The sequence below is a fragment of the Homo sapiens genome, chromosome 17, assembly GCF_000001405.40.
Source record: "Homo sapiens chromosome 17, GRCh38.p14 Primary Assembly".
In the NCBI taxonomy this organism is placed as follows: domain Eukaryota; kingdom Metazoa; phylum Chordata; class Mammalia; order Primates; family Hominidae; genus Homo; species Homo sapiens.
In genome coordinates, this window is record NC_000017.11 from 34,406,066 (window position 1) to 34,433,844 (window position 27,779).

General features: G+C 46.4%; 1 long non-coding RNA gene across 1 annotated transcript, besides 2 other annotated features; it reads left to right on the top strand.

Moving 5' to 3' along the window:
* The first annotated feature begins 706 nt into the window (after nt 1-706).
* On the top strand, nt 707-6,555 carry LOC124903986 (uncharacterized). The gene is made up of 2 exons (XR_007065722.1): nt 707-911; nt 6,070-6,555. It is a non-coding gene; the product is annotated as an uncharacterized LOC124903986 (long non-coding RNA).
* Nucleotides 3,783-4,538: an enhancer, noted in NCBI's record as "NANOG hESC enhancer chr17:32736867-32737622 (GRCh37/hg19 assembly coordinates)". NCBI's record gives its function as "activates a minimal SCP1, AML or CMV promoter by ChIP-STARR-seq in primed H9 embryonic stem cells {active_cell/tissue: H9 hESC(primed)}" and the evidence as "EXISTENCE:reporter gene assay evidence [ECO:0000049][PMID:30033119]".
* Nucleotides 19,245-19,746: an enhancer, noted in NCBI's record as "H3K27ac-H3K4me1 hESC enhancer chr17:32752329-32752830 (GRCh37/hg19 assembly coordinates)". NCBI's record gives its function as "activates a minimal SCP1, AML or CMV promoter by ChIP-STARR-seq in primed H9 embryonic stem cells {active_cell/tissue: H9 hESC(primed)}" and the evidence as "EXISTENCE:reporter gene assay evidence [ECO:0000049][PMID:30033119]".

Genomic DNA, 27,779 nt, shown 5'->3' on the forward strand with positions numbered 1-27,779 from the left:
CTCTTAGAAACCAAGGACATAGGTCTGGCACGGTGGCTCACACGTGTAATCCCAGCATTTTGGGAGGCTGAAGTGGGTGGATCAACGGAGGTCAGGAGTTTGAGACCAGCCTGGCCAACATGGTGAAACCCCATCTCTACTAAAAATGGTGCGTGCCTGTAATCCTAGCTACTCAGGAGGCTGAGGCAGGAGAATCGCTTGAACCCGGGAGGTGGAGGTTGCAGTGAGCTGAGATCACACTACTGCACTCCAGCCTGGGTGACAGACTGGGAATCTGTCTTAAAACAAAAGAAACCAAGGACGTAAAAGCATCTGAGTCATAAGAGCAAAAGGAAGCAGAGACTTGCATGACGCTGGGATTCTTCTCCCTGCCTCTCCACTTCTCTCTATATGATGCCTTCAACCTTCTCTCTCTGACGATCAGCTTCCTCCTCTTTTCCACTCCACAGGCTGGGAAATACGGTGTCAGGGAGCCCACTGCTTCACATATAACAATCAGGGCTATGAAAGGGAGGCTGCACAGCTCTCTTGGTTCCAAATCTGAAAGTCCCAGGAAAGAGGCACTTGGGCCCAGTTAGAGTCAAGTGTCCACTCTTGGACTAACCAACTAGGTCCAAAGGCCAGAGTGCCATTGTGACCTACCTGGTCCCACTATATGGATGGAGAAGAGAATAAAGGTCACCAACAGTGACAGTGGCCAAGAACCCCTAAAGCTTCACAGGAGAGAATCCGTGTAGGCCTGGCTCCCAACACCAGAAGGACAGAAAGATGGCTGAGCTTGCTGCATAACAACCACGAGGGGAACTTGTCAGAAATACAGATCCCAGGTTCCAGGTCCCAGGTCCCAGTGAGTCTCACTCAGTAAGTCTTTGCTCCTGCCTAGGAATCTGTGGTTCAAGCAAGCATCCCAGGTAATTACAATATATTGTCAGATTTGGGAGGCATTGGTTTAGCTTGTGCTCCAAATTTAATTTTATGTCTGTTTTATTCCTTTCTGCTTTGGGGTTTATTATTCTTTCCACTTTCCTTTCACTAAATAATTTGTACCCCTTCTAGGTTATTTAAGTAGAGACTTAATTCCCAGTTTTTCTTCTTTCTTACTAATAGATGCCATCATAAGCAACAGTTTTTTCTTTAAGTACCAGCGTGACAGCATCCTATAAATTTATATGATATGCTGTGTTTACATCCTTGTTCTTTAAATACTCTGTTCTGAATATCTTCCCTTTCCATGGCATTATTTAGGAGTGTTTTTAACTTCTAAGTGACTGGATAACCCCTTCTTGTTTATTTCTAACTTCATTGAACGAACTGTAGTGTTAGAATACATAAAGCAGAATGTTTCTGTCTTTTCTTATTGAATAAATGTCTTTGCATCATAGTAAGTAAAAAATCTATCCATAAAGATTTCCTGAAAAATCTATCTATAAAAACTCACTGGTCAAGTACAAGATTTGGGTGTTGGGTGTTGTGTGTTGCTGCTCTACCCCAGCCCTCATCAAAAACAAACAAACAGACAGACAAACAAATCACCCTTAACAAAGGCCATAAAGAGCAGGTCTTTGGAGTTGAACCTGGCTGGGCTTCTAACTTGCTCTGTGCAGCCTTAGACAAACAATTCACCTCCTCGGAGTCCATTCTTTTGCCTAGGGAAATCATGAGTGAAGACAGGCATGTACTGGACACTTGATCTTAGTAGCATCCTCTAGGCAGTGTTTGCCCTGCAGGACCAGCTGGGTTATTTAGAGGAGTGAAGACACAGAGAGGTTTAGAAGGAGGCACAGTCCTCAGTATCCCAGGTCCCTGGTGTGCATCACAATCTTTCAATAAAATGGAGCTGATCATGGGTATGAAAATTGTTGGTGGAAACAGACATAAGGGTTGTGCCTACTTAGCTGCTATTTGGCGCATAGAAGAGTCTGAGCATCTTTCCCCTCTTTCTTTCCCTATCCAGTTCTTCTTTATTATTTTAAAAACTCAGCTCAGAGTCAATTCCTCCAGGAAGTATCTGCCCATTCTCTCCCCAGCCCCTATTCCACAGCATTGACTCCTGTACACACAGATCAGCTTGTGTTATTTCCATCATCATTACCTGATGCCTCATCCCTCTCCACAGCTGTACTCAGCTTCTTAATGGCAAGTACTGAGAGTTATTTAGAGGAGAGAGAACAAGAGAGAGAAGGATACCCAATATCCCGCACCAACTGTTGAGTAGGGCAATTAATTGAAGAACATGGAGATAGTATGCATATTGTCAAAAATATGTGATACTTTTCCAGCAAATATTTATGGTGTATCTGCTATGTGCCAAGCAGTGGACATACAGGAGTGAACAACAGGGTCATGATTCCTCTGTGGGAAATATGGATTTCCCAAGAAGGTGATGGAGGCCCAGTCATGGGTGAAATACAGGGTGCTGGAGAGCACTTAGGTCTAAGCACCTCTTCTCCCATTGAAAGGGTGGACCAGCTGTCCAGGATATGGCTTTTAGCATGAGACCGCAAAGATAAGGAGTTAGCAATGCCTGGAAAGGGACAGGAAGAAGACTGTTCCAAGCAGAGAGAACAGCAGGTGGAACACCAGAGAACATGTGAGTGCAAGAAAAGGAGTGATGTGGCTGGATGTTAGGCAGTGAAGGAGCACAAAGAGAAACAAGCAGCACCAGACCAGACAGAAACTTGGTTTTGTTTTGTTTTTTTGTTTTGAGACAGGATCTTGCTCTGTTGCCCAGGCTGGATGCAGTGGCAGCATCAGGGCTTATTGAAGCCTCAAACTGGGCTCAGGTGATCCTTCTGCCTCCAGCCTCCCGAGTGGCTAAGGCTGCAGGTGCATACCACCACGCCTGGCTAATTTTTGTATTTTGTTGTAGAGACAGAGTCTCACTATGTTGTCCAGCCTGGTCTCGAACTCCTGAGCTCAAGCAATCCTGCCACCTCAGCCTCCCAAAGTGTTGGGACTACAGATATGAGCCACCATGCCAGGCAAATAGGAACTTGTGAACCATGCCAAGGGGCTTGGAGTTTAAGAACAAGAGGGTCTTGCCAAAGAGTTCGTGCAGTAAACCTAAACGAGAAATGGTGGTGGCCAGAGTAAGGGTGGGGGCTGGGGGTGTGGGTAGGAAGGGGTGAAGAGAGATGTCGAGGAGGTAGATACATGGACTTGGTGATTGATTGGTCAGGGTTGAAGAGAGAAGGACAGTCCAGGTGGTCCAGGACTTCAGTGGCATCCTTCACCAAAGGGAAAGGAAGACATTCCTTTGATGATGGTTGCAAGGATGGGTGGAGATGGAGGCGAACTAGATTCAGGCTAGTCACATTCCATATGTCTTTGGGACATGTGAAGGAGACAACATTCAACAGGCAGTTGACTGTGTAACAGTAATAACAAAAACTCAACTAAGCCCTCACAATAACCTCAGGAGAAATGAAACTAAGGTACAGAGAAGTTGAGTAACTTGCTCAAGGTCACACAGCACATAGTGGCAAAGGCAGTTCCATACACAGACATTCAGGTTCCAGAGCTCATGTGAGGGCTCTGAAACTCAGGAGAGAGCCAGCCGGGTCCACATGTGGCTAACTCACCACCGAAGCCACAAGAACAAGAATGATGAGTGAGGGGAACGAAGGGGCTAGGCAGAACTTGAGGAACACCAATGCTAGAGGCCTGGGCTGGGACAGGAAGCCAAAAAAAGAGCTACAATAATCTGATCTTCGACAAAGCTGACAAAAACAGCAATGGGGAAAGGATTCCCTAGTCAATAAACGGTGCTGGGGTAACTGGTTAGCCATATGCAGAAGACTGAAACTGGACTTCTTCCTTACACCATACACAAAAATCAATTCAAGATGGATTAAAGACTCAAATGTTAAACCCCAAACTATAAAAACTCTGGAAGACAACCTAGGCAATACCATCCTGGACATAGGAACTGGCAAAGATTTCATGGCAAAAATGCCAAAAATAATCGCAACAAAAGCAAACATTGACAAGTGGGATCTAATTAAACTAAAGCGCTTCTGCACAGCAAAAGAAACGATCAACAGAGTAAACAACTTACAGAATGAAAGAAAATTTTTGCAAACTATGCATCTAAGAAAGGTCTAATATCCAGCGTCTGTAAGGTACTTAAATAAATTTACAAGAAAATAAACCAAACAACCCCTTTAAGAAGTGGACAAAGGACATTAACAGACCCTTTTCAAAAGGAGATATACATGTGGCTAACAAGCATATGAAAGAAAAATCTCAGCATCACTGATCATTAGAGAAATGCAAATAAAAACCACAGTGAAATACCATCTCAAACCAGTCAGAATGGCTGTTTTTTAAACATCAATAAAATAAGATGCTGGCAAGGTTGTGGAGAAAAGGGGATGGTTATATACTGTTGGTGTGAGTGTAAATAAGTTCAACCATTGTAGAAAGATGTGTGGCGATTCCTCAAGGAGCTAAAAGCAGAACTACCATTCAACTCAGCAATCCCATTACTGGGTATATATTCAAAGGAATATAAATTGTTCTACCATAAAGATACCTGCATGTGTATGTTCACTGCAGCACTATTCACAATAGCAAAGACATGGAATCAACCTAAATGCCCATTAATGGCAGACCTTTGCAGGAACATGGATGGAGCTGGAGGTCATTATCCTTGGCAAACTAACACAGGAATGGAAAACCTCTGCACATTCTCACTTATAAGTGGGAGCTAAATGATGAGAACACGTGGACATAAAGAGGGGAACAACAGACACCAGGACCTACTTGAGGGTGGAGATTGGGAGGAGGGAGACGACCAGAAAAAATAACTATTGGGTACTAGGATTAGTACCTGGGTGATGAAATAAATCTATGTAACAAACCCCTGTGACATGTACACAGTTTACCTATATAACAAACTGCACATATACCCCTAAAGCTAAAATAAAAGTTTATTTTTTAAAAAACGAAAGTAAGTATGTAGTCAGAGAAAAGGGTTTCTATTAAATAGAAAAAAAGCTTAATTAGAAATTTAAAAACAATCATCTCTGTGGAGTGATGGGGTGAAATCCTTAAGGCAACGAGTTGAGAAGTCAGTTGAGATTGAAGGAACCAGACAGCAAGGATAGTCCAGAGTTAGTGAAGGGGAGATGAAAGAAGGCAGCAGCTAGAAGTAGCTGCAGGGTTAAAAGAGAGTTTTATAATAACGAAGACAGTAGATTATATTAAGTATTGATGGGAAGGAGCCAGTAGAGATGAGTTTGAGGCTCCAGGACAGAGCCTGTATAATCAGGAGAGTGAGGTTCCTTCCTGACTAGGCTCCAGGAGGAATAGATCCACACATGTGCAAGGATCCCAGTGTGACCGGGAGGAGAAACGAAAGACAGGGTTGGGAAGAGAATGGGGATGGTGGAAGCACCAGAGGATCCCCAGCCTCACTGAGCTTGGACGCTGCACACTTTCTGCAGCAGCAGTTCATGCGGCTGTGTGATCTTCCTTTGAGAGTGCTGAGCAGCCCAGGTGTGACTGAGGCGGTGCTGGACATTTGGATAGATTCTGATCTGGGGCTTTGCTAGGAGAGCAAAACCAAAGGACAGTGAGCCAAGGGAATTGAAAATACTGGCACTGAAGTGGTGGAAAGCATGTTCTGTGAGCTCCAGACTGACTGAAGGAGCTGTGAATCTTCTATTGTCATCCTCTGCCCAACCCATCACCCTCCCACCAACATATTTACCACGGGACTTTTAGAGTACAGTCAAGATTCCCTTTTGGTTTTCTCTCTCTCTGGATATCGAAACCAATTTCCTGGGATGGGGGTGGGGGAAGGCTGGAGAAAAATGACATTACAGAGAAGGATCAGCCTTGGGACATTCCCCAGGCCAGACTCATTTGAAGAAAACTTGAGTTTTTCCCTTGTCTAAAGCTCTGAGGTCTTTGGGGAGCTTTCCAGCTCTGGTCTAATTGTAATCCCTAAGTACATATGCTATGTTCCAAAGTCAATATATAGAGTTAGTGCAATACCAATGTAAATTCTTCTGAGTCCTTTAATAGAATTTGACAGCTCTGAGTGTAGGATGCTTATTCTTCCAGGTAAAGAACCATCAAAGCATTTGTCTTTTAATGGCAGTGATAGCTGATCCCTCCTGAGTGATTAAGATGTGAATTGTCAATCACTGAAACCATCCTGTACTGAGTTAAAAACCACAAAGGTCACCAGAAGAGAGATTCCTGAGATGGATTTGAATTCTGGCAAAACCAACGTTAGGCCAGCCAAGGAGCATATTGGAGAAAGAGATTGGTATTTAATAAGCATCGCGGGGACAGTTGGCTAACAGGCCAGGGGAGAGTTAATTTAAATTCATACAGCATACCTGTCAAGTTCAGCTATATCGTACTGCTAATCTGTGACAAACCTGGAGACAAGGAACTGGCATTGTTACCCCTGCTGCTGATAAGGAGATAAATTCCTGGCTATTGAAGAAAAAGATACCATCAGGGCTCTGATAGATGGGTTCAAATATGTGAGAATAAAAATGTTTGCATTGCAATGTAATAAAAATAAATACCAAAAGGAAAGCTACGGCATCCGTTACGTCTGTCTCATTCTCCCTCCCAGGCCTGCTTACTGCCCAAAACAGATAATGGATAGGCCGTTATGTGATTCTTCCTGATAAGTGGTCAAAGGAGATGAACAAAATTAAACCAGGAAATGGAGATAGTAAATCACCACGTGGAAATAGGCGCGGTCTTGCCAGCTATAAAATACAATTTAGATCCAGGCAACTTTCAGGTCCTGTTACATGCCTACTAAAGCCACAAAAATAAGTATGATAAAACCCAGGATAGGCAGCCAGTGGAAACACATCCTTCAGCATTGCCTTTTAGAAAGACTGGACAAATTTCCATAAGCAATCAGGCAACATGAATGAGAGCCACACTGCTGTTGAGAGGCTCTGACCCGGTAATTCCTTCTTTGGTTAAAAAAAAATCCTACAGTGTTAGCTCCAAAGAAAGAAAAACACATCTATAGCAGCATTATTTCTATAATAACTATAAATTGCCAACAACACAAAGGCCAAACAAGAAGGGGCTGACCAGGCAAAGGGAAATGTGTTAACACAATAGAATAACACTGTGCTACTATACATGACTAATACGGGGGGCGTGGTAGGTTCTGGAAACAGTTTTATGAAATATGCATAGTCATCATTAGTGTGCATATCCAAGGCCTTCCTGGATATTGATAAAGAAGAGACTTTGGATGGGGCTTAATTCACTTAATGTTCATTAAGGTTTCATGATAGGCTGGATGCTAATTTTAGTCATTCATTCAACATTCATTGAGTGTTGACCACACACCAGATGCTAAGGATATTAAGATGAGAAAGAAATGCTTCCTACTGCGGAGGGCTCTGTTGTCAAATGAGAAGATAGACAGACAGACAGACACACACACACATACGCAAAATGATCAAGTGTGGGAAGAGGTATAGATAGGGTGTCATATAGAAAGGGGAGGGGGCCTAGACGTCACTACAGATCTTCATATGCAGGATTAGGATAAGTCACAGGTGGGGCAAACATGGAGGAGAACATTGTTCTAGGGAGAGGGAATGGCATTGCACAGGCTGTGACCGTATAGATCTGGGGTGTGTTTGTGTGTGTGTGTGCGTATGTGTGTGTGTGTGTGTGTGTGTGTGTTCTCCATCCCAATAGATCTGCAGTCTATAGCCTAGGATACTTCTTTCATGGGACCCAGAACCCAGTGGCTGCCTTCCCAGAACCAACTCACCCCTGACATTTCCCTTCACTACCACCCTCCCACAAACCGCTCCTCCCCCGTTCCTCTGCCACGCGCAGCCTCACTTCCTTGCTGAAATCATGCAAGGCCGTTTGCCCTGGGTAAAAATGCTCATGTTGTGCCGTATGCTGTGTGAATAGAATTATTCTGAAGGCTGGTTTAAACTGGAAAGGATTCTTGTTATTTTATATAGTTCATATCTTATTCATTGCAGAGTGTTCTTTCCTGAAAGAACACTTTCATATCAGAAAGGAGACGTAGAGCCTTAGGTGAAATTTCCCTGTTACTGGTTTCCTGAAAGTGCTGGATATGGAAACTGTTGTTAATAAATTGAGTAAAGTGGGGAAAGTAAATGCAGGAATGCAAGCCCCCAGCTCAAGTTCATATTAACCAATAGGTGGTGTGCGGAGTGTCGTGAGTAAGAAATCATGGCAGCAGGTAGCCACAAGTTGCCATTTGAATGTTGATGTTTTGAAAGCTGTGGGTGCTATTATAGCTTAACATATAGTTTGATTTGACGATGTGTAGCTTAGCATTTAGAACGTAGTGTATGCAAGAGAGGAAAACTGGAAGCTTCGGAAAGGGAACGAGGACATGAATCAAGAGGTTCTCAGGTAAGAATGACAAAGGAAGAGGCTTAGTGGAATGGTGTGATTACCAGCACATCAGCATGAACTCATGACTTTGAAAACAAATCCCTCTCTCTGCTGAGATGACCTAAGCTGCCGATAGCATTGCCTAGCACATAACCAGGAAGCAAGCAAAGCAATCCAAATGAAAGCAGCCCTCCCTCACTGCCATTCTCAGAAGACCAGGAATAGATTCAGGGGAGAAATCGGAGTCAGAAGCCTTTCATGGTTGGAGAGATATAATGTTTTATGAGACCAATAATGCTTTGGGGGGCCATGTTGCACAGAAGTGGGGGTGAGAGGTGCCCACCTAAGAAGCTAGCCCCCACTTGTGGAAGTTGTCACGCAGCAACAAGTAGAACTTCACCTTGAGCAACAAGGCAATAATTATTGCCAGCTGAATGGGCTAAGAGTCTGTGAAAGATACTTGAATCTGAGATGATCCTTTGGAAATGAACGTTAATGTGAAGTGAGCTGCCAAGATTGAGTAACAACAGCTGAAGTGTTGTTAACCGAAGTCAGAAAATGCTATACATTGATCACACTGTGTTATCAGAAATCCATCCTCCAGTTTCAGTCTGTCTCTGAGTGACAAATCACACTTTCTCTCACCCTACAAGCCTCAGACCTCCTGAGCAGTTGGGTTGAAATTTCATAATGTATCCAGATGATTCTATCATGATGTCTGCAGGTTATGTGTAGTGTTTGTGTGTGAGGAGCAAAAAGTGGGGTGCACTGATCCAAAAATTCTTCTCCAGGGCTTATGCCCCTTGCCTTTGCCTTGGGAGTGATTCTTGGTAACCAGGGGAGGGCCTTGTACCCGGACTTGAGGGACGGCTGGAGAGGAGTCTCAATGGGAGGCCCACCCAGCCAACCATGAGAGACCCTGGTACACATGTTATCAGTATTCTCTCTAATATGCCAGCCCAGTTGCAATGGCAGATGATCAATGGATTGCTTGGCTGCCTGGCCACCCTCTAGCCCACACCTTTCTTCTCTGGACATGGACTCATACTTTCCCTTCTCCCCTTGGAATGGTCCCTTTTCATTCAGGCTTGGAATTTGGATTGAGATTGTGCGACAAAGACTGCTCTCTGCTCACCAAAATCTGTGCTCCCTACTTCTTCCCAGCTGCATAGCTAGACTGTTTTCCCAGCCTCTCTCTCTCTTTTTTTATTTTTGAGATGGAGTTTTGCTCTGTTGCCCAGGCTAGAGTGCAGTGGCGTGATCTGGGCTCACTGCAACCTCTGCCTCCTGGGTTCAAGTGATTCTCCTGCCTCAGCCTCCCATGTAGCTGGGATTACAGGTGCACGCCACCATGCCCGACTAATTTTTGTATTTTTAGTAGACATGGGGTGTTACCATGTTGGCCAGGCTGGTCATGAACTCCTGATCTTAAGTGATCCTCCTGCCTCAGCCTCCCAAAGTGCTGGGATTACAGGCGTGAGCCACTGCACCCGGCCTGTATTCCCAGTCTCTCTTGAAGTCACATGTAGCCTTGTGACTAAGTTCTGCCCTGACCCATGGGAGAGGAGCAGAAATCAGTGCCACTTCCAGGACTGCCCTATACACAACCCCCACTTGACTCCTCTTTGTTCGTATTCCTCTCTGGGCTGCCTGAAATAAAGACAACCTTGGGGTCACCTTGGAAGCCCTTAGCTAAAGGTGGCAAAGCAGCCAGCAGCCTGGGACCCAGAGACAACTTGAAGGACAGTGCCCTGCTGACCTGAGGCAAGAAACAAGCATCTATAGCAGAATAAATCCTCTCACATAGGCAAGAAACATAGTTCTGTAGCATCTGAGCCTCTACATTGGGTTCTATTTGTTACAGCAGCAAGAATTACCCTAACTCACTCAGATGGCAAACAGTTTAAACTGTGGCCATCAGCTTTGACTCTGACTGAATCCTTCTTTGCTGTGACCATTAGAAACATGATGCTATTATACACTTGGGTCTCGCCAGCCAGGGAGAATTGGTGGCTGTTTGAATGGCAGCCTCCTCGGGCTACAGAAAGAAAAACATGGTGTCACACAAAATGCTGTAGGAACTACAAGACAAGAAGATCCATCCCTGTGCTACCTGGGCTATGATCTGCTAGGCCCATATGAGCTGCACGCTGTCCCAAAGGTCAAGACCAGCTCTGAGTGACTGGGCAGCAGAGACAGGGAAGGCAGCTTGCTGGGAGGCCCACCCAGCCAGCTCAACAGCAGGTGCCATTTTGCTTGTGGCTGGCGTATAGAGTTCTCTTCTTAGAAAGGGACCATTTCAGTTAAATGTAATAAATATCCTCTTAAGTAACACATAGTTGAAATTCTTATTTTGCTTTCAGGGCCTGAAATTGGTTAACAGAACAATTCACATAAGTCACAAAGTAGGGGATAACTCAGTACCTGGACTGGAGCCAAATTCCCCTGGAGCTGTGCAGCATTTTAGAGAGGAGACCTGGGTAGCCTTTATGGGGACTTCTCTTTGGGATAGGAGGGGGATGTGTTTGCAGGACTCTTCAGGTCCAAAATGCTGTGCTTCTGAGACAAGAGTCTTTCCCCAAATAGAGCGGCAGCTGTTGTTTTGTGTTTCCTTCTCCCTCCAGGATCCATTCCCTTTTCTTGTAACTAATGCCCCACACACGCTTTGCAGGAATCACCTCTCCTAACCTATGGGCTCTGGGACAAATGAGCTAACCCCAGCTCCACGCACAAAGTATTTTATCCAAGCTCTCTGAGCTTAAGGTGAGGCCATGTCTCTGGTGATTGATTATTTCAGGAGAGAGTGAGCAATCTAAGTTAGTCCAATCGGAGTGAATTCTGGGGCTTATGTAGGAGGTACCAGAGAGAAAACTTTGCTCTTTTCTGCAGGCCTGGAAACAGGCACGCTGAAACTGATCTACAACCATTTTGCCAGTATGTAGGGCTTGAGGATTGAGCCAACAGAACCAGGCTGAGAGGCAGTATAAATCCAGGCCCTGATCACATTACTTAAGCACATGGATCCAGTTACACCTGAAGCTAGAGACTTTTCAGGTTATTGAACCAATACATTTCATTTTTAATCAATATAATTTTGGAGGTAATTTTTTTTTCACTCACTTTCAGTGGAAAGAGTGTCCTGGCTAATGGGACAAATTTTAATGGAATTGTCTTGGGAAAGAACTCATGGGTTCTAAGGGAGTAAGTGAGAATAAGAAATCATCATAGACTTCAGGAAAGGTTGCAGAAAGAGGAAAGGGGATCTGTTAGCTCTCTGCCTAGGACCCCCACAAGCCTGGGTCAACCATGGCAGAGCCAACCATAAGAGACCCTGGCACACATGTTACCACTATTCTCTCTAATATGCCAGCCTGTAGACATGTTAAAAGTATTCTCTCTAATATGCCAGCCCAGGAAAATTATCCTAAACATTCAAAGCCATCTTACATGAAGCTGTTCTTTGAAGCATTGCGTGTAACAGTGAAAAATTGAAAACAGTCTAAATGTCCAACAATCAGGGGTCGGTTCAGTGAGCTTGTTGCCTTCAGAACAGCATTTATGAAGTACGTGTAATAACATGGAAAACACTTATGATAGTGTGAGTGAAATCAGGATATGGAGAATTTGTACAGTCAGTATGAACTCAACTATGTGAAAAAGGGGGAAAAAAGAATTACAAGCAGGCAAAACAAAGAAAAGTAAATGTACCCAAAAGTTAATGCTTGGCAAGCGGGATAATTTTTTCTTTCTACTTTGCTTTATTTTCTAAACTTTTGTAAGTGTTATTTTTACAATGGAATAAAATTCTGCGTAATGTTAGCTGTTGGCGATGTTGTACACAGACAGTGTAATGTACGTGGATGGATAGTTTTTGAAGTAAAGGAGGAATGAGGGTGTATGACTGCTCCTCTGCCAGGCATCCAATCGGGTTCCAGGTGTTTCACTGTAGCTGGATGACCTGTGGCAAATCCATTTGTCTCTCCAGACCTCAGCACTCTCCTCTGTCAATGAAAAGGCTTCAGAATAGATGTCCCAGAAACAGACCCAAATAATATCATAATGTCCAGGTTCTGCCCCCGCATACTCAGCCTTGTACTTGCCCAAGGAATTCACCTCTCTGAACTTCAGTCCCATTCATGGGGACCATCTCCCCACTTTGCCCTGCCTGTGGGTACACACTCTTTAAGCTGTAAATCACTATACATAGCTGGGAGTTTGTCTTGTTAGCCATGCTGCTCCCGCTCAGGCCTGCCTCAGCCCATCTGCTGTCATTTCTGCCCACTCGAGTTAAGCCATCTGCAAATAGCAAGAGAGTGTTCTCTCTGATGGCTCTTGGGGCTGCGCCCTTTCTGCTTTTTCTGTGGCAAAGCCTGTTTGCCCTCTCTCCAGAAACACGGCTGGGCAGACAGGAGCCCTGAACAGCTCCCTCAGACATGTACCAGGCTCTCTCATGCTTGGCTCTGCCATGGTTGACCCAGCCTTGTGGGGGGTCCCAGGCAGAGGGCTAACAGCTCCTTGGGAGTCCACAGCTGTATGGTCCAATACAGTCCATAGATTTCAGCAGTGGTCTTGATGACCCATGCCCCGAAGCACTGCCTTCTCTAAGTGGATAGACTTGTTCTCATTTCATTAAAGACCCAGGTCCTGGGAAGAGAAAGTGGCCCCTACTAGCTGATCACTGAGGCACTGAGTCATGACAATCTGGCTGCAGAATCCACTCCTCAAGGGGGTTCAGGATTAGAATGTGCAAGAACATAGGAGGTGAGAGCCTGAGAGGCCTTTGGAGACAATCTGGTCCACCTGCTCCTGGGACAGATGGAGAAACCAAAGCCAGAAAGAGCTGTGATGTGCCCTAGGTCACATAGCTGTCAGCAGCAGAGTTCAGACAGAAGCCCATCCTCCTGCCTGACCCCTACCCCTGGCTTGTGCACACAACCCAATCATTACCTCTGTCTGAGAGGGTAGGAGGAGGAAGGCCCAGCAGAGGCCCAGAGAGGCCAGATCATCTCTCCAGGCCTCCGTGCCTTGGAAGGGAGAGTTCTCGTGTCTCCTTATCCCTACCCATAGCCCTTGGCCCTATTGTCTCCAGTGCTTCCTGAAGACTGGGATTATGGGAGGCAAAGCACTGGGCGGGTTGCTCTAGACATCTGCCCCTGGGTCTTTATGGCAGCCTCTCCTCTGGCCTCTCTGAGGCAAGACTATTCTTCCTCATCCTGTTTGCCCGGAGCCTGCCGGGCACAAGGTGGCCATAGATTCTATCTTCCAAACTGGGACACATTGAAGCCCAGAGGGGACTCAATGAATAGTTATGCGGGAACACCTTGTGTAAACTGAGGCTGCCCCAGATACACCTGGACCTGTGCTTTTCCTGGCCAAGCCAGGTTCTTTTGTGACATGATTTGAGTAATGTTTCCATCATCTATTTTTTCATCCCTCTTCTTTCTACCTGGCTAATCTCTACTCGTCCTTCAAGACAAGTTGAAACCTCACAGTTTCTAAGAATTATAGCCTTCCTTACGGCCCAAAAACAAGTTTAATTCCTTTTGCCTCTGCATCCAAACGGCTTGGCTAATACCTTTATTATAGCACCTGACACCTTTTCTTGGATCACAGCTTCTCAACCCTGGCACTTATTGACATTTTGGGCCAGATAATTCCTTGTTGCAGGAAGATGTCCTGCGCATCACAGAATCTTTTGTAACATTCCTGGCCTCTACCCACCAGATGCCAGTAGCAACCCACCCTACCCCCATCTGATTGTAACAACTGAAAAAATGTCTCCAGATACTAACCAAATCATCCCCAGCTGAGAGCCACTGTCTAAATGTTGTGTTTGTGCGTCTTTTTTTACACTATGTGGTGATTTCTGAGAGAGTATTTTATCATCTTCTGTGCTTGTCAGTTCCCAGCACATAGTAGGTGCTTAGTAGAAACTGTCTGCTGAATGAATGAGTGACTTGAACAAGAAGAAACGCAGAAAGGTGGCTAGGGTGCCAGCTCGGTTGGATGCATTCTCAGTCATGACCACTAGAGGGCAGAAAAGGCCTGCCAAAAGCACACAACGGAGTCCAGGAAAGAGGAGATCCCAATGCCAGAGCCAGGGGTCCTTGCCTGGCTCTTGGGGCTGCGGTGACAGGGCCACAGTCTCTCCTGCTAGTTCCTTGTCATCTCCCCGATCTATAAATATTGCTGTTCCCAGGGCTCAGTGCTCAGACCTATTCTCTATTTCCTATCTATTCTCCTTGTGTGTTCTCATCTAGGATCATGATTTTAAAAATCATCTACATGCTGATAACTCCCAAATTTATATATCTAGCCCACACATCTCTTAAATGCCATACATGTATTTCAATCACCTACCTGAATCTCCATGTGAAGATCTAATTAATAGGCCTCTGAAGCTTAACACAGCCAAACTTGAACTCCTGGGATCCTTCCCTTCCCTCCTCCCCAAACTCACTCTATCCCAGTCCTTACCATCTCAGCAAATGGTGACTCCATCCTTCCAATGGTCCAGGCCTAAAACCTTGGCCTCACTTTTCCTCTCACTAACCTATATTCAGTCTGTCAGCAGATACTCCAGGCTCTACCTCTAACCCGCATGAGCATCTTATCTGCGCTAACACCTTGGTGCAGGCCACCATCATCTGTCACCTGGGCTATCTATGGCAGCAGCCTCCAAACTGATCCCCTGATTTCACCTCTTGCCCTTTGTCTATTCTCACGGCAGCTGAAGGAATCCTAAGCCATGAGGACTCTGGTCCTACCACTTCTCTAGTGAAGAGTCTGCTAATGGCTTCCATCTCTCTCAGACAATGACCAAAAATCTTACAAGGCCAACAGGGCCCACCATGCTCCACTCCCTCCATCATCGCCTCTCTGACATCTCCAACAACCCCCAGCCCACACCCCAGCATGCTGGTTCCCTCTTCCTCCAGACACGCCAGGCACAAGCCCGCTTCATGTTTATTCCTGATGTTCCATGGACCTTCCCCAGCTTCCCCTCCCAGCCCTGTTTCTTGGCTTATTTTCTTCCATAGCAGTTATGGCAAACTGATCTACTAGATGTTGTAGTTTCTTATCTGTTGCCTTTCTATGTCCAATTGTGGTCTCACTAGGGAAAGGGATTTTTTTTTTTAGTCTAATTTGTCCACTGCTGTCTCTCCAGGGCACGGCACACAGTAAGTGATCAATAAGTAGTTATGGAGTGATGAATGAGTGAATGAAGAGAGTGAGTTCCGACAAATCCTGAGTTTACTAGGGAGAAATCCAGTCTCAGCCCAGTTGGCTTTCCTAAGAAGATCTTCCAAGAAAGAGTTGACTTTGTCCAAAACAGAACAGAGAATTTCCCTGGAGTTTGAGAAAAGTGGAGGGAGGGAGACTGACAGTTATTGGACACCTATTAGGGTTAAGAGGATGGACTCTGGAGCCCAACACATTGGGCTTAAATCCCAGTTTCACCGCTTACTTCCTGTGGGACTGCAGTTAAGTCCGTTAATATCTTCATGCCTCAGTTTCACAACTGGAAATTGAGGATAGTAACAATACTAGCCTGGTAGGGCTGTTATGAGGATTAAGTGAGTTGATATATGCAAAGCACCCAGAATAATGATTGACACTTAGTAAGAGCTCTCTAAGGATCAGTTACCACTGTTGTGTGCTTTACATATCCCATTTGATGCTTATAATAATGCTGTTGGGTAAATAATGTTACTAGCCCATTTTGCAGGTGAGAATGTTGACACTCAAAGGCAAACAGTTGCTTATCCGAGACCTCACAGCTAGTGAGAGGTGACCGCAGTGCAGCTCTTTCTGACTTCATTCCCATCAAAAAGGGTGTGGGTGTCCCCTGAGCTTCTCCTTCCTCTCATCCCTCACTCTGTTTTCTGCTGCTGCCACCACCATCAAGGTGGCCTGTGCTTAACAGCCCCTGCTTTTTAACTCCTGCCCAAGGGAGAACACAAACTCTTTCCGACTCTACTAGCACCAGCAAAGCAGGCTGCATCTTAAAGAGAACTGTGATAAACATCAAAGCAGCCAGATTCCTCAGGTGGGGGATTCTGATCCTAAGCTGATGCCCCCCTCATCCCTCTGTCCCCAGGAAGAAGAGACCACCAGCCCACAGGCAGACAGCACCTGTCCCTGCTGCACTTGGTACCCATCCCCTTCCCAGGCACTCCCCGGCCAACTGAGATTCAGTGGGTCCAAGAGGGAGCTGGAATCAGTATTTTAGCAGGCTCCCAAGGCAATTTTTGTCTTGGGGAAGTTTGAAAAAGACTGGCATAGACCTTAAGGGCATGGACTCTGGAATGAAACTGCCTAGAGTTCAAACTCTAGCTCCATCCTTTCCTGTGTGACCATGGACAGGTTTCTCGACCTCTCTGAATTTCTATTTTCTTCTATGTGAGATGTGGGTAATAAAACTGTCTAGCTTATAGAGTTGAGAGAGGATTAAATGAAATCATGCATGTAAAGTGCTTAACACAATAGCCAGCACTCAACAAACATTATTATGATCAATATTGTTGTTTTTAGTATTATCCAAAGTGAAGCAGCCTAGATTTTCAGATTCCCTTGGACCCAAAGTTCAGTGCAGGTGCCTTCACACCTTTGGAGGGGGGGGAGCTGACACACACCGTCACTCTGGTCATGTCTCCCTGGACCTCACAGACCCCACATAACCAGAACTGCACATGCAGTAGGGTGAGGGGCCAGCTCTGACACTCCAGCCCCTGCACTGAGGTGGGAAGTTACACAGTAGGGTGAGGCCAGCACTGGGCCCAGAGCCTGGCACAAAGCCCAGGTGCCTGGGAGGGCCTGAATAGCACCTCTTTGCCTTAGGGAGCCGGGGCTAGATGCTGCTGACTGGCTCCAAATGCAGCCTCTTTACCTGGAGTCACACAGCCCTTCAGAAAATCAGAGGTGCTCCCCTTCCTGTGTCCATGTGTTCTCATTGTTCAATTCCCACCTATGAGTGAGAACATGCGGTGTTTGGTTTTTTGTCCTTGCGATAGTTTGCTGAGAATGATGGTTTCCAGCTTCATCCATGTCCCTACAAAGGACATGAACTCATCATTTTTTACGGCTGCATAGTATTCCATGGTGTATATGTGCCACATTTTCTTAATCCAGTCTATCATTGTTGGACATTTGGGTCGGTTCCAAGTCTTTGCTATTGTGAATAGTGCCGCAATAAACATACGTGTGCATGTGTCTGTTGTGGGGTGGGGGGAGCGGGGAGGGATAGCATTAGGAGATATACCTAATGTTAAATGACAAGTTGATGGGTGCAGCACACCAACATGGCACATGTATACATATGTAACTAACCTGCATGTTGTGCACACGTACCCTAAAACTTAAAGTATAATAAAAAAAATCAGAGGTGCTGAGGCTCAGAAGGTGCTGACCCCCGCTTTGGGACTGCGTGACACTCGGAAAGAAAACAGAGAGGAACTGACTTCCTGACGGGCATGGAGGCCACCTCCTGCTGCCTCCACCCCCAGGGTGGTGTGCTCTGACTCCGCCCCTCCTTCAGGAAGGGCAGAGGTGACCACTTATTGGGGTGAGACAGTGCAGGGCAGGCAGCCAGGTGGAGCAAAAAGAGTCTCAGACAGGGAGTCAGAGTGGAGACGGAGGGATGGAGGATCAGAGAGTGCGAGAGGGAGAGGAGGGGAGGAGGAGGAAGCAGCCGACGCCCAGCCCCAGCCCGGCATGCAACACTGCCCCTGCAGCCTGCCCGCTTCTCTCCTCTGCTCCTGAGAACGCCTGCCATTCGCTGCTGGGCCATCCTCTCCCTCTAGTCCAGGCGGTTCGCTTATGCTGTTCCCTTAACAGGAACCCGTCTCCTCGCAAACCCTCTTTTACTGACTTGGCTAATTCCTGCTCGTCTCTCGGATTTGGCCTGACATCACGCTCTGGGGAGCCTCCCTGAGTGCTGCCTCCCCCGGTCTGGTTGAGTCTAGTGGGCGACCCCAGCAAGCTGTACACCAGACAACCCCTGCCCTGCCCCCATAACAGTGTTTCCTGAGGACCAGAACCACCTCTTTGCGGGGCACCTCCTCACTCCGCGGAGAAGAGATGTGCTGTTTCCCGGCCTCATCCCAGCACCTCCCAGAGCCTGGCGCTCCTAGCTACTAATGGAAGTTCCCAGAAGGAAGCCCTCGCCGGATGCCACTCACCTGGCTTCTCAGTAGCACCTGAGCCTAAGCCCTTCCTACACCGCAGGCCACATTCCCTCTGCTGCTCGTCCCACCAAGCCCCCAAACCCAAAGCTGCAACCCCTCGAATTCTACACAAGTGAGCTAAAGGCGGGGGCGGGGGGGGGGGTGTCCCAAGGTGGGGGAAGAAGTGACCTAAGATGCAAGGAGAGATACCTGAGACCCAGGGAGGCCCCAGGGAGCAGCTGGGAACATCCGGGTGAGAGAAAGAGGGTGGGGGAGGAGAAGGGCAGGAGCGCAAAGTGACCGCCAGCTGAAAGAGCCGATCCGCAGAGCTGCAGCCAGCAGGGCCTGGAGACATCAGACCTGGCAACTAAAATGCCCCATGAATATTTAACAGCCGTCAATATTTAATTAGTGCAGACAGATTAACTCTGAAATCACACATACTTGGGCTGGGCTCCCCAACTCCTGGAGGGGGAGTCAGAAGGAGAGGGATGGGCCCAAGGGAGAGGCTCTGTTCATCACCATATGGCCCCTAGCCTGCTCACCTTCCCCTCCCTACCACCTCCCCCTGCAAAGAGCGGGCAACACTCACAAAAGTCAGAGGGGCAGCGACACCCTGAGGAGCCAAGGGGAAGGTCTGCATCTCCAGAGGGTTGGGGGTACGGTGGGGTGAGGGCAGTGCCGGGCAGAGGGGCCAGGTCAGCAGCTGGGCGGGAGGAGGTGGCACAGCAGCCCTTTCCACCGCAGCTCCACCAGCTCAGCCGAGGGTGGGCTCCACATCAGCAGCCCCGCACAGAGCCTGCCAGACCCCAGCCTGACTTGCAGGAGCAGGTGTCATGGTGTAATTACTTCTGTGCCTGTGCCATGCCTGGATTATGCTGTTTATTGCATCAGCAGTGGGACCAAGAGTCTTTTTATTCTCTTCTTGTTTCTTTGAGGTTTATCACATCTTGTGCCACTTTTTTATTTAATGGAGTATCCCTGGACTTCATCATCTGGTCATAAATTGCCACAGTTGATGTCCTTTTTTTTTTTTTTTATAAAAAACATTTGGCCCAGGACTTGTAAAATGTCCTAGCCAGGCCTGGGCTCTGCCCGCCTCTCCATGCTGGAGTTTACATTCCAGCACAAAGATGGTCTTAGGTTCCACAAACAACCCAGCTTGCTTTATGACCTTGTGCCCTTGTGCATCCTGTGTGTTCCACCTTGAGCACCCTACCCCTTCCTCCTACTTTAAGGTTTGACTCAGAGGCCTTTTTCCTCCAGGATACTTTCATTGATGTCCTATCTCATAACAATTTGTTTGCTTTCCTGACTCCCCCAGGATGAGCGCCTCAAAGACAGAAATCAAAACCTGTACATACATCCTGCCTAACCTTGGAAAGGGCACCTAGTGGGTGCTCAGTAATCTTCTTTTAACTTTAATGAATTAAAGTAAGAAGAGATTTCAGATAGGGACTGGAGAACTGTCAAACACATTGTGTAGACGGCTTGTGTATCCGTTAGCTATGGCCGTGTAACAGCCACAAAAGTCTCAGTGGTGCATATAAATTAGCCTTCATTCTCAAAGGTATTCAAGTCAGCTATGGCTTGGTGATCTAAGTTCAGCCAGGCAATTCTGCTTCAAGCCACAGCCCTGCTTCTCGCTGCAAGATGGAGGGTTGACTGGAAAAGCCTCCTCCAAGCATCTGTCACCCACCCTGGGCTGGTGGGCTAGCTGGGATATGCTCATTTTATGGCAGTGGGAGAGGTACAAGAGGAGATGCCCAAACACATAAAAGCTTCTGTCATATTACTAACATCTCCTTGACCAAAGCAAGTCACATGGTCAAACCCAAAGTCAGGAAGCAAGGAAGTAAACAGGACATGAGAAGACATCATGAAAAGGGTTAGGGGAGGGGGTGTAAAGAAATGGGCCAGTATTTCAACTGATCACAGGTGGGTCCCCATCACCCCATGCACAGGATCCCAGAATGGTAGGACCCCAGTGGGACAGGAAAGAGAGGAATGAATGGGCTCACACTTGTAGTCTCATGAGCTTCTCCTTCTCACCTCCTCCCCACCCTTTTTTCCCCGGGCATCTGGGTTAACAAAACAGCAACAGAGACAAAATAAGTTTATAGAAGACACTAATGTGAGCCACAGGTTATGGTACCAAAAGCAGAGAGAAGGGGACAGAGCCGATGCTGAGAATGCAAGCCGAAGACAGACACTGGATGGTGGAAGATAGAAGCCAGGGACCAGGACAAATGATGACCTTTAGCCACACAGTGCAGGGAACAAAGCCTTAGCCCTCAAGTCAGCAGGCCTGGCTATGGCTGTTTCCCACCGGTATGATAAGGACTTTGGACTCTAAGAAACTGAAAACCCCGATGACCCTGATGTCATGATTCCTCAACCTCTGCCTCGTTTCTTTCTCCTCAACAGGCACATTCTGAAATCTTCTCTAAACCCCTCACAGTGAAAATAAGACCACCCTCTGTCTATGTCATTAGACTCCCAAGGCTTCAAGGCAAAAAAGGATTGTCAGAAGTAGGTCATTGGCAGGTGGGTGGTTGTCTTTCCTTCTGAGATGTGGAATCCAATATTTAGAGTCAGAATAAGCAGCTGGTAGATGGAAAAGAATCCTCTTCGGAATCAGAAAAATACGGGTTCAAGTTCTGGCACCACCATCTGCTAGTTGAGTCATCTTGGAGAGTCACATAAACTCTTGAGCCTCAGCTTCACTGCCTGTCAAATGGGCTGATCATAGTAACCACTCGGAGCTGCAGAAGGGGTGGGGATTAAATGATAGAAGGTGTGTAACACACTCAGCCTGGTGCCTGGCCCAACAAAGGAGCTCAACCTATATCATTTCCTCTCCCTTTTCTATCCCCAGCTCCTGAATCTTCATTGATTCTGCCTCCCCTGCCCCCAAATCTATGAAATTAAAATTCCTGCCAACAGTTTAATAATTTCCTCAGCTAATTCCCTTCAGACCCCAAGGCCTATATCCGGACATGGTGATTTGGTCCAGGTAGGCGTCATCCAAATGTTCTAAGTATTCTCTTTCCTACCTTTAATCAACTATATTGACAAGCCTTCTGTCCCTTTCTAATTGCCCATCCCTAGGATTTTTTTCATTTCCTTGTTAAAGACCAATATTACAAAGCACTTCAGCAGCTCAGCCATTTTTATCATCATCATTAATTTTATTTCCCTTCTCATTTATTAATGGGCCAGGCGGCTTTCAAGTATCTCTTTTCCCCTGATATATTTGTAAAACGCCCTTCTTATTCCCTTTGGAGGCCCCAAGGCTCTCTGCAGCTTTTATTTCTTCCCTTGGCTGCCCTTCTGTTTCTCTGAAGCCTTTGCTGACTCCAGATCTTCCTTTTGTGCCCCCCGCCCACCTTCCTCAGCCCTCCACCTCTCCTCCCTCCCTCCCTCCCTCCCTCCTCAGACTTGGTCGGAGGCCTGGTCTCTAAGCCTGTCTCTGTGTTGAGGCCCACATGGCTCTGAGAGCACCAAGGATTTGCCAAGCTCCTGCCCCATCCCTATTCTGCTCACACTCTGTGAGCAGAGAGGAGCTTTTATCCATGTAGCTGATCAGGAGGAAAGGACCAGAAAAGCCTATGTCCCCCTTTTATTCCCGCCCACCCCACCCATCCCCTTACCTCCCAGGACTCCTGATTAAGGGCTCTGTACACAAGGGGCATCCATTCATTCATTTACTTAAAACAACATCATTGAGATATAATTTACATACAATACAATTCACCATTTTTCTTTGTTTGTTTGTTTTGAGACAGAGTCTCGCTCTGTTGCCCAGGCTGGAGTGCATTGGCGCGATCTCAGCTCACTGCAAACTCCACCTCCCAGGTTCACGCCATTCTCCTGCCTCAGCCTCAGCCTCCCAAGTAGCTGGGACTACAGGTGTCCACCACCACACCTGGCTAATTTTTTGCATTTTTAGTAGAGACGGGGTTTCACTGTGTTAGCCAGGATGTTGTCGATCTCCTGACCTTGCGATCTGCCTGCCTCGGCCTCCCAAAGTGCTGGGATTACAGGTGTGAGCCATTGCACCCGGCCACAATTCACCCATTTTTAAGCATTTAATTATTAAATACAATGATTTTTTAGGAAATCTACCAAGTTATGCAACCATCACCAACCATCCCCCTTTAGAACATTTTTATCACCTTCATTTACAGTTAATTCAACTTCTCACCTCCATCCCTAGATGACCCCTAATCTGCTTTCTGTCTCTCTAGATTTGCCTTTTCCAGGACATTTTATATGAGTGGAGTCTTACAATATATGTTTGTGTGTGTGTGTCTGCCTACTTTCATTTAGCATGTGTTTGAGATTCATCCATGTTGTAGCATGCATCAGTATTTCATTCCTTTTGATTGTTGAACAAGATCCCACGGTATGGATATACCACATCTTGTTTAACCATTCTCCTGTTGATGGACGTTTGAATAGTTTCCATTTTGGGCAATTATGAATAAAGCTGGTGGGAGTATTTGCATACAAGTCTTTGTGTGGATAAAAGGCTTCATTTCTCTTAGGTATATACCTAGGAGTGGAATTGCTGGGTGGTATAGTAAATTTATGTTTAATTTTTTAAGAAACTGCCAAACTGTTTTTGGAAATTGGCTGCACCATTTTACAATCCAGCCAGCAATGCGTGAGGATCCCATTTCGTCCCATCCTTTCTAGCACTTGTCATTGTATGTTTTTTTGATAATGACCACTGGAGTACTATGAAGTGGTGTCTTGCTGTGGTTTCGATTTGCATTTCTTGATGACTAACGGTGTCAAGCAGCTTTTGGTGTGCTTAATTCATTCATTGTCTCAACGAATATTTGTGGGGCACCTCATATGTGCCAGAACTGTTCTAGGGACCAGTGAGCAAATAGATAAAATTTTGCAGGGCACTCATATTCCTGTTGGAGAGACAGACGATACACAAGACAATAAATACATACAGTATCAGATAAGGACAACTGGCAGGCCAGGGAGAAAAAAGATTAAGCAGTCAAGGGGTATATAAAATGTCAAAGGTTGAAATTTCAGGGAAAGGAGTCACAAAGACCTCACTGCATCAAGACCTGAAGAAAGTGAGGGAGGTCTTCATGGGAGCATCTGGGAGAGGAGTGATTCAGGGAAACAGAACACATTCCAAAGGCCCCAAGGTAGAAGCAGGACCTTCAAGGACTAGCCAGGAGACCATGCGTGAGAAAAAAAAAAGGAAGAAAGTACCACGCGATAAAGTCGGAGAGGAAAGAGGGAGCCAGACCTTGTGGAGTCTGTAAGTCATGGTAAGGTGTGCATGTGTGCATGCATTTGCACGTGTAGAACAGAGAAAGAAGGGAAGTCACTGAAAGGTTTGGAGTGAGCAATACAATCTGGCCTGTGTGTTAACAGAGTTGCTCTGATGGAGAATGGACCATGATGCTGGGTGCAGGGACAGAGTAGAAACTCGGACGGTGGGGAGATCAGTTAAGAGGCTCTTCGGTGACCCACAGCACAGAGATGATGGTGGCTCAGACCAGAGTGGGGTAGCAGGAATGGTGGGAGGTGCTTGGATTCTGGAAATATTTTAGATGCAGAGCTGGCAAAATTAGCTGGCTGATTATAGCTTGGGAGAAAAAGAGAAGTCATGAATGACCCCAAAGTGTTCAGCCTGAGCCCCCCCAAAAATGGACTTGCCATTCACTGAGACAGGGACAATGCAGGAAAGGCAGGTCTGGAAAGGCAGGGTCAGCAGCTAAGCTTAGGGCACGTGGCATGAGACGCCCAGAAGGTGGCCTAAAGAGATGCTGAGTAGACCGATGGATATACAGATCCCGAGCTCAGGCGCACATCCTGGAATCATCAGCGTATAGCTGGCATTTAAAGCCATGAAACACAGCAGGCTGGGAATCAAAGAATTATTTCATTAGTATCTGAGGCAGTGCTCAATAACCCCCATGGAGGTGTTTCTGGGATAACTGAGCTGGAGAGCATGGCTGAGCCTGGAGGTCTAACCAGACTTTGATTTCCTCTTCTGATTCTGAAAGCAGGCCTGAATTATTCACCTGACATGGGGTCTAGAGGATGAGGCGAGGCCTTCCTCTTGGGGACCTGCCTTGTCTTCTTGCCAACTTTATATGGAACTCAGAAATAGGGCCTGCCTTGGGATGTGTCCATGAGGATTGCTATGGGCTGAACTGTGTCCTCAGTCCAAATTCATATGCTGAAGCCCTAATCACCGATGGAACTGTATTCGGAGATAGGGCCCATAGGGAGGCAATTAAGGTTAAATGAGAGGATTAGGATGGGGCCTGATAATATAGGATTCTTGTTCTTATAAGAATAGACACCAGAGCTCATTCGCTCTCTCTCTCTCTCTCCCACCCTTCCCATGCCCCCCACCCCCCACCCCTCACCATGTGAGCTCACAGGTAGAAGACTGCCGTCTGCAAGCCAGGAACCAAATCAGCCAGGAACTTGACCTTGGTTCCCCAGCCTCTGGAACTGTGAGACATGAATTTCTAAGGTTTAAACCACTCAGTCTTTGGCACTTAGTGACAACAGTCTGAGCAGTTTAAGACAAAGACACATGCAGCCCCACAGGGAATGTTACACCTAGGTGGCAGCATATCTGCCTACTTTCTAATGTTCCCAGGAGAGTCCAGAATTTGACCTGTCACTTTACAACTCCTCTTCCTTTGTGGTGGAAGGAGGGAAAGGAAAAGTGGAGAGTGAGAAGCAAGGTTGCAGTTCTTTCCCCAGCAAAACTCTCTCAACAGAAAGAAGGAAATAGGGGGCTGGGCGCGGTGGCTCACGCCTGTAATCTCAGCACTTTGGGAGACCAAGGTGGGAAGATCACAAGGTCAGGAGATGGAGACCATCCTGGCTAACACGGTGAAACCCTGTCTCTACTAAAAATACAAAAAATTAGCCAGGCATGGTGGCGGGCACCTGTAGTCCCAGCTACTCGGGAGGCTGAGGCAGGAGAATGGCGTGAACCCAGGAGGCGGAGCTGGCAGTAAGCTGAGATCGCACCACTGCACTCTAGCCTGGGCTCCCATCGTATGTAACATAGCAGTGTTACTAATGTTACTAGGTCATATCCCTAACTACTATTGTTACTAGTGTTACTAGGTCATAGCCCCTACCCTGCCCAGGAGCACATGCAGCCTCTGCACCCAGGCTTCTGACCTTGCACCGTCCACCAGTAATGTAGGAAGGCCATAGCGGATGGGAGCCCCTGCACTCCTCACTCTCCATTAACACTCTTTCATGGATCCCTTTAGCATCCACCATGACTGATCTCTCTAACACATCCTCCTTACCTTGCTTTTTGAACTTGGCTCTCATCATTGACCTTCCCAGCCCTAGACATTTGGCAGCCTCTTGCCCATGATTTTGCTTTTCCCGTATCTGAGCTGTCTCAGGATACCTTGGGAATTCATCATCTTTCTCTTCCATCCTTCTACCCTTCCACTCTTTCACCAGCCATGCACTGAATATTTGTGCCCATCCGCCAACTCACCCCCTTCAACTTATGTTGAAGCCCTAATCCCTGTGTGATGGTATTTGGAGGTGGGGCCTTTGGGAGGTAATTAGGTCATGAGGGTGGAGCCCTCATGAATGGGATTAGTGCCTTGATAGGAAGAGGCCAAAGAGCTCACTCTCCTTCCACCATGTGAGGACACAGCAAGACGATGGCTGTCTATAAACAAGGATAAGGCGCTCATCAAGAACCCAGCCCTGCGGCACTCTAGCTAGGACTTCCAATCTCCAAACTGTGAAAAATAAATGTTTGGGGTTTTTTTTTTGTTTATTTGTTTGTTTATTTGTTTTTGAGACAGAGTCTCACTCTTTTTTGCCCAGGCTGGAGTGCAGTGGCATGGTCTCGGCCCACTGCAACCTCTGCCTCCTGGGTTCAAGCAATTCTGCTGCCTCAGCCTCCCAAGTAGAGTAGCTGGGATTACAGGCACCCACCACCACGCCGAGCTAATTTTGTATTTTTTTTAGTAGAGACGGGATTTTGCCATGTTGGTCAGACTGGTCTTAAGCTCCTGACCTCAGGTGATCTGGCCCGCCTTGGCATCCCAAAGTGCTGGGATTACAGGCAGGAGCCACCACACCCGGCCAAATGTTTGGTGTTTAAGCCACCCAGGATACAGAAGTTTGTTATGGCAGCCTGAGCTAAGACACCCCCCTCCTCTTCACACCCACCTCCCCTTCACACTCATCACCTAATTTGAGCCTATGGGGTTGTGTATGGAGTCTTTATAGGACTGAACATGCTTCAAACCAAGTCATCATACAGACACAGAAAAGCAAAAAGATATGATCTTGTAAAAGAAATGTCTCCTTCTCCCAAATTACCAGGTATGTGGAATATAATATATGTTACCTTATGAACATTTTTTAAAGATTATTAAATTTAAACACAGATTGAGGTATTTGAATTTCAAAGACTATCTGTACAAAGCAAACAAAAAAAAAAAGTCCCAAGATTGGGAAAGGAGTTGATATAAATGATAACTGACAAAGTACAGCCCCGTGGTTCTCAGACTAGAGGATTCTGTAGTTCAGCAATTTTTTTTTTTTGTAACAGCAAAAAAGGAGGTTGACAGATACATCATTGGTATGAATGGAGAAGGAAGAAAATAAAAGTCATAAGTGTGAATGAGATGACAGTTAACAAGCTAAGGAGTTTGTTGTGGTTTATGTATATACTTTTAAGTTCTGGGATACATGTGCAGAACATGCAGGTTTGTTACTATACATTGATGGGTGCAGCAAAATCTTTAAAGAGAAAATTGGAGGATTCACATAGCATTACCAGCTTTATGCAGTTCTAAGTGTAGATACCCGAGAAATCATCTCAAGTCTATAATCACTATCTTTTCACGGGTGACAGGATATTTTCAAACCAAGAAAGCAGGAAAGATATAACTCCAGGGAAAGGACAATCCTGTTGATAATGAATAAATTTAACTTTATGAAAGACTCACTCATGTTTTTCTCATTTCTCCACAAGCTGATGAAAACTTTGGCACGAAGCACTGGAATGCCGAAGTTAAACCCATATTAATTCCTACAAAATATGCAGTCTCGTAAGTCTTCGAGCTTCACCCAGATGCTGTGTTGCCTTTTAGAATCTGCATGCATGTTGGAAAGGTCCCTTGATGACAGGGAGAGGGAAGGGAGCCCTACCTTGCCCTGGGGGTCTTCTTTCCTTTAAGAACTGATTCC